General features: G+C 41.2%; 1 protein-coding gene across 4 annotated transcripts in view; it reads right to left on the reverse strand.

Moving 5' to 3' along the window:
• Positions 1-13,271, reverse strand: part of FAT1 (FAT atypical cadherin 1) — a 138,903-nt gene that overhangs the window by 72,157 nt on the left and 53,475 nt on the right. For all 4 annotated transcript variants that reach the window (NM_001440455.1, NM_001440456.1, NM_005245.4 and 1 more), the window contains exon 3: positions 3,349-3,663. In NM_001440455.1, coding sequence (NP_001427384.1) covers positions 3,349-3,663 — 315 coding nt within the window. The remainder of the gene's footprint in view (positions 1-3,348; positions 3,664-13,271) is intronic.

The raw sequence follows: 13,271 nt of genomic DNA on the forward strand, positions 1-13,271 counted from the left end.
CTGCACTCTACACACACGAGCCTCAACAGGGGACAGAAACACCATGAATCACAAAATCGAAGGACCTGGAAGTCAGTTCGCCCCAAGATCCCAGAGGGAAGGCCTCACTATGGTCCGGATCTCTGGATTTCCAGCCCAGTGATTTCCTTGCTCAGCCGTTAATCATTAAGTAACACGATTTAGGGTCTCCAGGTGGCGAGATGGGTCAGTGACTCCCAAGCACTATTTCCTACCGGACGGACTTTCATCAGCCTTCACAATCAGGCCGCCATGATACTGACCTACCTGGGAACAGTCTGCTTTAAAGGTTGTAAGAAGACGAGGCATGTGTACTTCAGGCCCTGAGGATCACACCCCAACTTTCTGCTGAGGTGGGGGAAGAGAAGCATCTAGAAACAGATCTAATGAAGCTATATTTACTATATTATTTAATAATTCCATGCTAAAATACTGTTCTTCATCTTCAGAGACTTTAGGTGATCTGTGGAATGTTGAGACTTCTTTACTAACCACAGAGTTTTTAACATACTTCACAACAAATACTGCTGTGTACTAACTATGGTATCCTCCACTATTACCTGACTTCAACTCATAAGGAAAGAAAGCCTCTGTGTGCATTGCACTGAATTTCCTCCTGCCGCCCTGCCAGCGGAGTGCCTGTGCTCCCGCCGGGGCTGGGGTGTGGCTGTGGACACCTGGAGAGGGTTTATTCCTTCTGAAGACAACAGCACAGACATCTCTGCAAACACCTTTTCTTTAGAGTTGTCAGAATAGAGAGATTTAAAAGGGAGAGGCAATGCCATATTAATCATGTTTCTACAACAAGACATAACACCATAGCAGACACATCATCATTTCTGGGGTCCCAGGAAGAACCAAGGGTTTTCAAGGCTCCCCACAGCAATGCTAAGCTATATAATCTCCTCAGTTTCTTTCTCCTCCTACTCCTCAAACATATATTATGCCCAGACCTATGCCATGTGCTCAGATATCCCAAAGGATATTTCTTGCTTGCTCATCTATCTCTTCACAGAGGACTTACTCTAATCTAAAAGAGAGACAGAAGACACAAGAAAATTGAAAACACTGCTTAGTCTAATTCATCAAACAAATTACTATAGGGGTAGTTCTGGTCTTGAATTGCCACCTGAGATATGACATATACGTGTGTTGTGGGGAGGGGTACATATTTGTTTCTGTCCATGGTTCCTGGCTCGTTAACTCCCAGAACCCCTGTTAGTCTTTGGTTATAATGTTGTGGCACTTTTTGCCTCAGGAAACAGAATCTCTCTCCGGGCCACCTGCCACTCTCCTTTCACCTGCCAAGGCAGGACTCCAATCTGACTGTGTGTCATAAGCCCCTCATTCCAGAGAGGGTCCCGCTCCATATCCTGGAGGCGGAAACGCTGCAGACAGAGGCCAAGAACAATCTCAAGAGACAGGCCTTTGTCAACCACATGTTGACATGGCTGTCCGTGCGTCAATCATGCCTAGGCAATGAAGTCTCCATAAAAGGCCCAAGAAAGCAGAGTTCAGAGTTTCTCACCGCTGAACACGTGGAGGCTACGGGAAGGTGAACAAGAACTCATCCAGGTGCCGGGAGGGTGGTACACCCTGACTCTACCGGGACAGAAATGCCTGTGCGTGGGACCCTTGCAGACTTTGCCCCTGTGTATCTCTTCATCTGGCTGTTTATTTGCATCCTTTAAAATATCCTCTGTAATAAACAGGTAAATGTTAAGTGTTTCCCTGGGTTCTGTGAGCCGCTCCAATAAAGTAACAGAACCCAAAGAGAGGTCATGGGAACCGTCACTTGGAGCTGGTGGGTCAGGAGTTTCGGAGGCCTGGGCTTGAAGAGAGGTTATGGGAACCCTCGCTTGGAGCTGGTCCGTCAGGAGTTTCAGAGGCCTCGGCTTGCAACTGGTGGGAAGAAGTGAACACTCTTGGGAACTGAGCCCTTAACCTGCAGAATCTGAGGCTGTCTCCAGGTAAAAAAATGTCAGAATTGAATGAGAGGACTCCCAAGGTGTCCGCTGCTTGGTGTGTAGGAAATCCTCCCCCCCGCCCCCCGGCCAGCCCCCCAAACACACACTTGGTCCCAGAAGTCTTCTGTGATGATGATTGTTGAGGTTTGGGAAGAGGGTAGGAAAACATCTCTTTGAGGGTTTTTGTTCACACTCACATTGTGTCAATCAAGGCTTTTACTTCTAGATTTCTCTCTCTGGAGGTCTGGGACCGCCACTAGAGAGGCATACATACATTCTGGACTCCAAATTCATCCTCACAATTCTTATATACCTCTGACTTTTCTCTTATGTTTGACAATGCCTTTAATTTTTCAGTACTTAGTTCTTAGCTCACTTTTGCTTTATTTCACAAGGAGGGTGAACGCAGTCACCACTTGTGCAGTAAAGGAACAAAGATTAGAAGTTTATAAAAATTTCGGAGGAGGATTTTGAGGTCATGGAGCTATCTTCTTGGAAGCAGGGAAGTCAGTCACAGACATCGATGGAAAAAAATATTAGAAGCAAAAGGCCTGGGGTGTCACTTCAGGAAAGTAACCACTTCCAATCTGAAAACTGTTCAATCCCAATCCCTTACCACCTGCAGATACAGCACTGCTCTATAGGAAACACTTAAAACATTAAAAAACTAGCCAACTGTGAAATAAACTCTTTTAATACTCTTTACAAAAAGCCGACTTAGGACAATTCAAATTCTTAGCAGCAGTAGAATTTGCTGTAAGTTTAAGATATATCACTAATTTAGGAGCTATTACTGAAATAACAATGTTTGCTTTTTAACCTGAAAGTGAAACCCTACTAATGAGCATAATCGTAAAATAGCTTTATAAAAGCAAACTCAAAGTTTAAAAAGCACATTTAAGCTAATTTTTTTTTTTTTGAGATGGAGTCTCACTCTGTCGCCCAGGCTGGAGTGCAGTGGCACCATCTCGGCTCACTGCAAGCTCCGCCCCCCGGGTTCACGCCATTCTCCTGCCTCAGCCTCTGGAGTAGCTGGGACTACAGGCGCCCGCCACCACGCCCAGCTAATTTTTTGTACTTTTACTAGAGATGGGGTTTCACCATGTTAGCCAGGATGGTCTCGATCTCCTGACCTCGTGATCTGCCTGCCTCGGCCTCCCAAAGTGCTGGGATTACAGGCGTGAGCCACTGTGCCCGGTTATGCTAAATTTTTATCCAAAATAAAGGCTTATTTTGAATAATTCAAAAGGAAAACAATTTATCAAGAAACAAAAGTATGTAACAGATAAATGCTAATTCTTACTTTTCCCCCTAACAGAAAAGCATAAGCATAAACATTTCCTATAGCAGTATTAACACATACCTGTTTTAGGATGTATTGAAAAGAATCCTTGTGGATTTCCACTTGTAATTTTGTACATGAGCTTGTCATTAGAGCTCGAATCTGGATCAAATGCCTCGATCTGGACCACAGATACATCTTTAGGAGAATTTTCCATGATTTCTGGGTAATAAACAGGCTCTGATGTCTGTGGTGCATTGTCATTGACATCCTCAACCTCTATGTAGATCTCTATGAACGATGAAAGAGGCACGACACCCTGATCGGTTGCAAAGACTGTTAGCCAATAATGGGAGGTCGATTCACGGTCCAGTCGATCTGACGTCTCTATGACACCTACAGAGAAAAAAGAAAAGCGTAAAGCAGCACATCAACGACCAAAACTGCCAGCTTCAGAAAGTGTCAACAACTACGGCTTACTGAGAGCTTTATATGTCTCTTACTAGGTGCATAACCTTGAGCAGGTTAACCAGCCTTTCTGTGACTCAGCTTCCTTTCTTCTAAAATAGAGACAATAATAGTATATTCAACTAACATGCATATAATGATTAGAACACTTGGCACATAATATAGGCTATAAAAGTATTTGTTATTAGAATCAGGTGTCAGGCACTAAATGGAGCACTTTAAAAATATTATCTCACTGAAGTCTCAAAATAGGTGAGCACTAAGAGATCATCTAATGGCCCAACACTTCATTTTTCCATAGGTAAAGTTTATAGTTGGTTGAGAGACGTGCTGACTTTCCTGGAGGCTACTCAGGAAGACAGGGACAACACCAGAGCCATGGCCCAGATCTGAGACCCCACAGTCCAGCACCCCCGCTCCCCACACTGCATCCCTGTGGCGGCCACTGTCTAAGGAAAAAGGCAGGAGCAGCATCCTCCAGAAAGCTCGGTCTGCACACACACCCCTTCTCACAGTGGCTAAGGAAAGAAACTGCAACCTTCAAAGTCCACAATAAGGGGCTGCTCAGATCTCCTGAGTGTTGAGGTCCTTTTATTTCTTTCAATCGCCTCAAACAAATGGGAAGACAACCAGCATGCTATAAAAATATAAACTACACTATAAACTCCAAAAGGGCAGAGGCCACATCATTCTTAAATACCAGTATCCGCAGCACCTTACACAAAGCACAATAACGTATTAAATACACAAGTGAAATATCTAAGTATCTTAATCAGGGTTGGTATAGAAAAGTCCTCAACTGGGACCCAAACTAGGATACATTTCTTAGTAAGTCAACTAGCAAGAGATGAAATTATATGATTACAAAGAAGAGGGTTAGAGTATCTGTAATGTTTTGGTCCAGCCACTGAAACCAGTCAAAACTTAACTTCAAGCCAGGATTTACCTCCTCTGGGGATAAGAAGTAGAAATATCCATTTCTCTTTGGCAAGTCCCACCTTTTTATTCAATGGTGCAATCTCGCCCTTTGTCTACCAAAAACATATCACTGCACTTTTTCTCATGGATTGATCACTCGGGACTAAAGATACTTTCAGTGTTCTTCTACACCATGGTACAGGCTGGACTCTGGAAATGCTGAAGCTCTAGAATCACTGAAGTTTCCCGTTAAACGCAAACTACTGTGAGAAAAATAACCAATTACCAATTTTACCTATGCTCAGCAATGAAACATTTGGTTGAGAAAAATACACTGTTGCAATTCGTAATTTTGATCACACGAAATTAAATATTAACTTATTCGAGGTTAATATCAGAAAAACTCATTTTTTGAATGAATGATAATTATATCTAATACTCCCAAAAGGACTCACAACTTGAAAATAGAAAACTTAGCTAAATAAAATGTGAAATTATCATAAAATGAATCTTTATTGCCATTCAGAAGCATTACAATGATTTGTTATTGCTTCATTATTTCATACTGAACCTTCAGAAAGGGGGTATAATACTGCTTCTAGAAACATGGAAGAAACCTCAGAACCAAATGGTATTTCTAGTTCTAGATCCCTGAGGAATCGCCACACTGTCTTCCACAATGGTTGAACTAGTTTACAGTCCCACCAACAGTGTTAAAGTGTTCCTATTTCTCCACATCCTCTCCAGCACCTGTTGTTTCCTGACTTTTTAATGATCACCATTCTAACTGGTGTGAGATGGTATCTCATTGTGGTTTTGATTTGCATTTCTCTGATGGCCAGTGATGATGAGCATTTTTTCATGTGTCTGTTGGCTGCATAAATGTCTTCTTTTGAGAAGTGTCTGTTCATATCCTTCAGCCACTTTTTGATGGGGTTGTTTTTTTCTTGTAAATTTGTTTGAGTTCTTTGTAGATTCTGGATATTAGCCCTTGGTCAGATGAGTAGATGGCAAAAATTTTCTCCCATTCTGTAGGTTGCCTCTTCACTCTGATGGTAGTTTCTTTTGCTGTGCAGAAGCTCTTTAGTTTAATTAGATCCCATTTGTCAATTTTGGCTTTTGTTGCCATTGCTTTTGGTTTATTGCGGCACTATTCACAATAGCAAAGACTTGGAACCAACCCAAATGTCCATCAGTGATAGACCGGATTAAGAAAATGTGGCACCTACACACCATGGAATACTAGGCAGCCATAAAAAAGGATGAGTTCATGTCCTTTGTAGAGACATGGATGAAGCTGGAAACCATCGTTCTCAGCAAACTATCGCAAGGACAAAAAACCAAATACTGCATGTTCTCACTCACAGGTGGGAATTGAACAATGAGAACACATGGACACAGGGTGGGGAACATCACACACCGGGGCCTGTCGTGGGGTGGGGGGAGGGGGGAGGGATAGCATTAGGAGATATACCTAATGTAAATGATGAGTTAATGGGTAAAGCACACCAACATGGCACATGTATACATATGTAACAAACCTGCACATTGTGCACATGTACCCTAGAACTTAAAGGATAGTAAAAAAAAAAAAATGAAATAAAATAAAATAAACCTCAGAACCAAATAAAAATGAGCTAACTGGTTCCTCCGTACAGCAGACAACTGAAGATGAACTCAAACATGCTTCCCTGTTCTCTAACCCAAGCATAATGCACACACACTCAACTGGTCTGCTAAATTAGCAAAATTATATCTGTCTGTAGGCTCAAATAATAACCTTTCCCAGTTCCTCTGATTCATCACATCTATCCACAGATACAAAGACGTCAGGGGATAACAGAATGTTCTCTCCGGGAGGATTACACATTAACAAAATGTACACAACTCCTCCTGTGTGCTGCTACTTCATTAAAATGCAATAAAATTCACTTGACAGGTGAAGTATTATTAGAAAATCTCAAGAAGACAGGTACGTGGTGCTTTTATCTACCTCTTTTGAGTTCTAATCCTCCAACAATTCATGCTTCCATCTACTGTTTTAAAATGTGCCCCTCTAAATGTGACTAGAGGCATTTACAAACAGTGATAATTACAGAAACAATTTGCTCAGTGTTTACTAAATGCCAGGCCCTGTGATAAGTGTCTTACATGCATTATCTTATATAATCTTTACATCCAACCTGCCTAGATATGTGATGCTATTAACTCCATTTCACTAACGAAAAACTCAGATTGAGAGAAATGAGGCACTTTCCCAGGGCCACAGTGAATGGCAGAGCTGGAGTGTGAATACCACAAATCTCATCTTCAGCGCCAGCAATATCCTTGTCAGTCCTACGGCTGTTATGACAAAAGAGTAAACAAAACTTAATGTGGTAATTTGGGAAAGATGAGTCAAACTTCCTATTTCATCCACCTGTTCTACATGTCAGTATTCAGCAGGAATGTATTAAATGTTCACTCATACACAATAGCTTTCTCTAATCTCAAGGGAAAAAAGAATTATGAAATGGAAGTATATCACCCTCACATCTGAGGTTTGCAATTACAGATAGAAACAGCTATGATTTTTCCGTCGTGCCTTATTTCTAGTTCGGGCCGTAAGCGTCCAGACTGCAGTGTGCAATTCTGAGATGGCATCTGCTGGTCCCCACCGACCCATCAGCTGTACAACCAGGGGGTGGGGGACAGTCATGTCCATCAGGAGGGGATTGTCGGCCTCCCCGGTAATCTACGGATATTACTAAAGGTTAAGACTGAGGCAACAAAGCGACTCTATTCAAATATCGGAGATTGTGTAATTCGCAATTAAAATAGTAAGTATGAATGAGTGAGATGCTGGATGTTCCTATTTCATGAATTCATGACTGTGTACTTTTATAATGCCTATCGTGATTGCTGAGATAAGCTTCTGCTTCGATGCATTTTAATTATTACCTCTTTGTAAGATAAAAAATCACTGAATACAACTTACGGAGAACTATAAAGTAAATTTCAACTGCCAAAGGGAGAGGAGGGCACACCGAAGAATCTTATCTTCTAACCAAAATCCTCAGATCCCTCATGTCCACCAATCACGTCACTAGATGCTTTATGTGCATTAAATCATTGAAAGAACATGGAAGTTGCATGATTTTCATCCCAGCTTTACACATGAGGAAAGAGAAGCTTAGATCCATTAAGAAACTTGCTTAAGCCCTGGAGTGATGAGGAAACAAGGCCAGGGTCAACAGCTAACTGGTGGGATCCGGAGCTGAGCCGGACAGTCTGACTCCAGGCCTCAGGGTCTTCTCCACTGAGCGGTGGGCTGTTGCCACTATCAATCAACAGCAACACTGTCGGACACCAAAGGTGCTGGGGACCTGGTGGGGCTATAACCATGAGGAAAGGCCACAAGGAGTTTCCCAGTGTGGAAGGAAGGGTCTTCCTCATGCATGCAGGACAACAGACGGGAGACGATCTGAGGATTCCGCTCAGAGTTTTGGGGTTCAGTACCTAGGCGCTATTATAGGCACTGCACAAAGTGGGTGGAAGGAAGCCTTAAGCGTGCCAAGTTATTTTGTTTTCCGCTTTTTAATCTGTCAGCCCAGTTGCATGATACACTCCTCAAGAACCCTGGGCAGAAACTTCCAAAGTGGACCTATGGCACTAGCCCGAGATCTCTAGGTCAAAACCCCGAAGCTTCCCATCTTGAATCAGAGGCAAGACGAAGGTCCAGGATGGCTGAGTGAGAGTCTAGATAATGTGCAAAGAAAGACCAGGGGTAGAGCTAGCCTTCGCCATCTCAAAATCAAGCATTAGACTGGGAACGCCTTCAAAACCCTCCAGTGCAACTCCCTTGTTCTTAAAGAACGTTGAAATGATTTGTCCAACTCCAAGAAGCTAAACAGGTGTAGTTCAGAATCCAGAGTGAAGGACTTCCTTAATCAGGGGTTCATCACGATCCAAACCATTCTTTAAGGGAGTCCTGGTTTCTGCAGGGAGTGACACACCAGCTGTCTCCAAGTATGACCGAAGCTGCCTTTACTCATTAAGTCATTAGCAGTTCTTGTTCCTACACTTCATCATGCTTTCACCAGTCCTTCCTAAAGCCACGACTGGCATTTACAGATTACAGATTGATTTCTTCTGTAACTTTAGCAGTTACCTCAATTCCATAGAGAGAAACAAATTTTCACATTTCCATTGGGAAGACTTCTAATTAGTGCCTTTAACACAGAGAAAAACAAAAATAAAACTAAAGACATCCAGTCATCACTGGATGTGAATCAAACTGTGGTCACTCTCAAACCTCTATCCCTGTCTATTTCTCTTTATCCATGAATGTCTACCTATCAACTTTCAATAAGTACTTTTTTATATAGTGGGTTATAAACTCACCCTGGAGACAAAAGGAACCAACAAAAACTATAGTTTTTACAGGTATCTTTCTATTTACACATATTCACGACCTCACCTTTTTGGGCACCTATGTATATCCACCCCCAAACTCTTCTCTGCGGTCTCCCTCCTGTCTTCGGCATCTCCTCCCCTCTGCGCTCCCCTCCTTCTACCTTTCTGAAAGCAAACACAGCATGCGGCCAGAAGGTGCCTGCGCCCAGGCTGTGAGGAGGGAGGGCTGCAGCCCAGGCCTTCCGCAGGATTCCCTCCAGCCAGATGCCGGGAGCAACAGAGCCGTGAGAGGGGTGACAGGGAAACTCTGTCGCCACTCCCGTCAGGAGGTTGCCGTGCACACGCAGTGAGAGCGGTCGTGATGCTGCTGCGTGATGCTATGACGCAGATTTGGAGCACAGGAGACAGGTTGAGACACGCTTGTTACGTGTGCCACTCAGCAGTGCCATCAGAAATCACGGCTTTACCTGAATGAAGCATTACGGAAGGAATGAAAGCCTAGCTTTCCAACCTCGAGAATACAGTGAAGTTGTTAATAACCTGAAAAATCCGAAAGAAGCCGGAAATTTGGAGTTATTAAGTAAGAATATTTATCATTCCAAACATACTCTCCAGGATTTCAAAACCACCACCAGATGTCACTATGGAAACTCACTTTAAATATGCATCCAGTGGAGAACGAGACTGAAGGGGGAAAAATGTAATTTCTAAAAGAGCTTAACCAAGATAGTTGAAAATAGAGCTCACAGCAAAATTTCTGTATGGAAGGATTCATTAATGTCCACTTACTTAACTAAACGGATACTGACGTTGTCTTTCCACAGCCTGATTATTCAAAGGTTATAGGGTTGCTCCAATAAACGGTTCAAAAGTAAATCACAGTTTCCAATAATAACTCCTACTCCCCGCCACTGCTGGCCCCTGCTGCTGTTAAGGAATAGTCCTTGATCAGGAAAGGCCAGCATTCCCTCCCGCTGACACAGGTGGAACAGGACTCTTGCAACACAGTAATCTTTAAGGCAAAAATAAAGTTATAGCTATGATGTTTGCCAAAAATAATTTAACTGATTCAAATTCCCATGGCCACAGAACACCTTTCCTCCTAGAATTTTCCTATTTTAACAGGTCTTGGCCCCCAATCAAGCCTTAATGCCAAGGCTTTCAACAAAGCCTCGTTACTTCTGACTCTCAGAAATACCTATCATCAGCAACAACCCAGCAACACAAATTTGCAAACGCTACCCTCCTTTCTGATATGTCACATACTTAATGTTTTAAACTTTTCATACAACTGCTTAAGGCAGCAATTGTATTAAAAGCTGCTTTGTTCAATCACAAGAAAAACTTAAATGTGAGATATAATTTTAACGATATTTTCCCTACAGGCAACAACAGACAGAAACTCTTTTCTCCAATTCAATACCCTCAGCGTAAACAGGGTAACTCTTTTGAAAATAAGCATTTTCCCAAATATGAAAACAATACTCACGGAAAAAGAAGAGACATACCATCAACACACTAGAGAGCCAATATCTCTGTTGCTGCAATTAATCTATAAACGGTTATTCAATTTTTCCTGCTAATTATGCAAAGACTAAACATCTCAGAATTGTCATATTAAATGTTAATCACTAAAAACATCAATTCTTCCTTAAAATTAAATTTTAAAAGTAGATTGTAAGCTTCCTATTAGAATGCAAACTTTTTAAGGACAAAGAATTGTTACGTGTTTGGTTCAAGGCCGGGTCAATAGTGAGTGCTTATAAAAAATGATATCCATTACAGACAAGCAAAGGAGGAGAAACAGTCGCAGGCAAGAGGAGACCAGAGAGACGTAACTAAATGTCATGTGGGAGCTTGGACCACAGAAGGCACCTTAGGTAAGAACTCAGAAAATCTGCATCTATTATGGACTTCAGTTAGTAACAATGTACCAATACTGATTCTTTAATTGTAACATCTTACATACTCATGTAAGATGTCAACAACGTGAGAAGCTGGGGCAGGGAGCAGGGAGTTATGTGAGCATTCTACTTTCTGCTCCATTTTTCTGCAAATGTTTTATTTTTTTAAAAAGTTGTCTATGAGAGCTCATAATATGTAGATTGTTTCCTTCCTTCAATTAAAAACTTTTTTGAACTTACCTGTTTTTAATCTCGTTTTCATTAAATACTAGATTTAGACTGATGTTAATATTTCCACATCTTGATGATACCTTGAGAGCCTAATGTGTGTATAAGAAACTTTACATGTTAAAGGCTAAAGATTTAAATAACAATCTAATTCAAAATATAATTTACTGTAAAATAATAAAAAAATATTACTTGTTTTGCCTATTATATACAAAGAAAAGCTGTAAAACGAGTTTAATATAAAAAGCAAAATTTCTGCAATTTAGCCTTTCTTTAAAATAACTGGGCCGGGCATGGTGGCTCATGCCTGTAATCCCAGCACTTTGGGAGGCCGAGGCTGGCAGATCACCTGAGGTCAGGAGTTAAAGACCAGCCTGCCCAACATGTTGAAACCCCGTCTCTACTAAAAATACAAAAAATGAGCTGGGCGTGGTGGCAGGCGCCTGTAATCCCAGCTACTTGGGAGGCTGAGGTAGGAGAATCACTTGAACCCAGGAGGTGGAGGTTGCGGTGAGCCAAGACGTGTCATTGCACTGCAGCCTGGGCAACAAGAGCGAAACTCCGTCTCAAAAAAAAATAAAAATAAAAATAAAAATAACGATACTAGTTTGACATGCAGTATTATCTCATAAATCGAAACCTTTGAATTCTTTTAGAAACAATACAGTAGATCGTGTGTGTGTGTGGTGTGTGTGTGTGTAAATATACATTTAATGTTCTTGCTTCTGCCATCAGTTGGCAAATTTATGTTATTTACTACTGTGGACTAAAATAGAACAAGAAATGAAAAAGGAGGAGTCTATTGGGCTGAAGGCATTTAAGATTCTAAAATGGCTATTCAGTCTACTTTCTCAGGGAATGACACAGGAAATGCTCTCAGAACTAAAATCAACATTTGTTACTTTCCTTTCACCTGAAGTTTATAAGATATTACTATTTACTTCACTGGTGTTGCTAATCATAAAACATAAGGAATATGTAAAGACCAATGTTTAATGGTTTATTTTGCAGAAGAAGGAAAAAAACAAGTTCTAGTACTTTTAAAAACAATGTTCTATTATGTGTGTATACATATATTAATAAATAAAATTTTAATTGCTAGAGACCACTTCTATAAATATTTTATGTTTTTGATAATAAAAGAAAGTCAAAATAAGTAAAAGAAAGTAAGTCAACCAAGAAGCATCCCTCGTGGGCCAATCAAACTGCTAGGCAGTATACTAGTGTACCGTACAGGTGCCTCTCTGCCCCCTTACAGATAAAAATACAGTAAATCATGTATAATTTCTTTCTCTCCAGTTTAACTGAAGCCATGACACTGACCACCATGACCCAATCTTTCAAAACCAGTGATGTGCCATGAGTGCCATTTTGTGAGAAGCCATTTGTATTTTGAGCAAACTCAGTGGCCTGATGATGACTGACAGGGATGGCAACATAACAGCATACATGGACTCAAGATATAGCAGAGAAGAACTTCTTATACATCAGCTCATTTACTCCTTACAGCAACCCTAAGAAGTAGGTAACGTTATCATATCCTATTTCACAGAAAGGAAACAGACAGTACAAGCAACCTGCCAGAAGTCACACAGTCCATTAGTGGGGAACTGGGATTCAACCCTAAAAGTCAGGTTCCAGACAATCGTGCTAAATGTTTGGAGTCCCTGCCTGTCCTTCAATTGGAGGGAAGATTAAGGGGCAACTGAACACAACCTGCAAATTTCACCAGAGAAGTTGTGACTTGAATGCAATCCAGAAATGTAGCTGCCAGATGCCGTTTTCCCAACATTTGAAAATCTGGGCTAAAGCGAATTTCATTGTATCGGGAGGGAAAAGGAATGGACTTATTATATGATGGTACATACACAGCTTCAAAAAAGAAGACATGCATATTAATTACACAGAAGAATGTCAGTGATACAGAAATTGAGAGAAAAATATAAACGTATAAAAGTATATAAAATATGATGCTACTGCTGTTCAGAAAAATTTTTTAAACACACATACACAATTATATGTGCAGAGAAAAAAGGTCTGAAATAAACAAGGTGATCAGCAGATAAATCCATCCAGTGAACAGAAACTTTT

The sequence above is a fragment of the Homo sapiens genome, chromosome 4, assembly GCF_000001405.40.
Source record: "Homo sapiens chromosome 4, GRCh38.p14 Primary Assembly".
Lineage (NCBI taxonomy): Eukaryota > Metazoa > Chordata > Mammalia > Primates > Hominidae > Homo > Homo sapiens.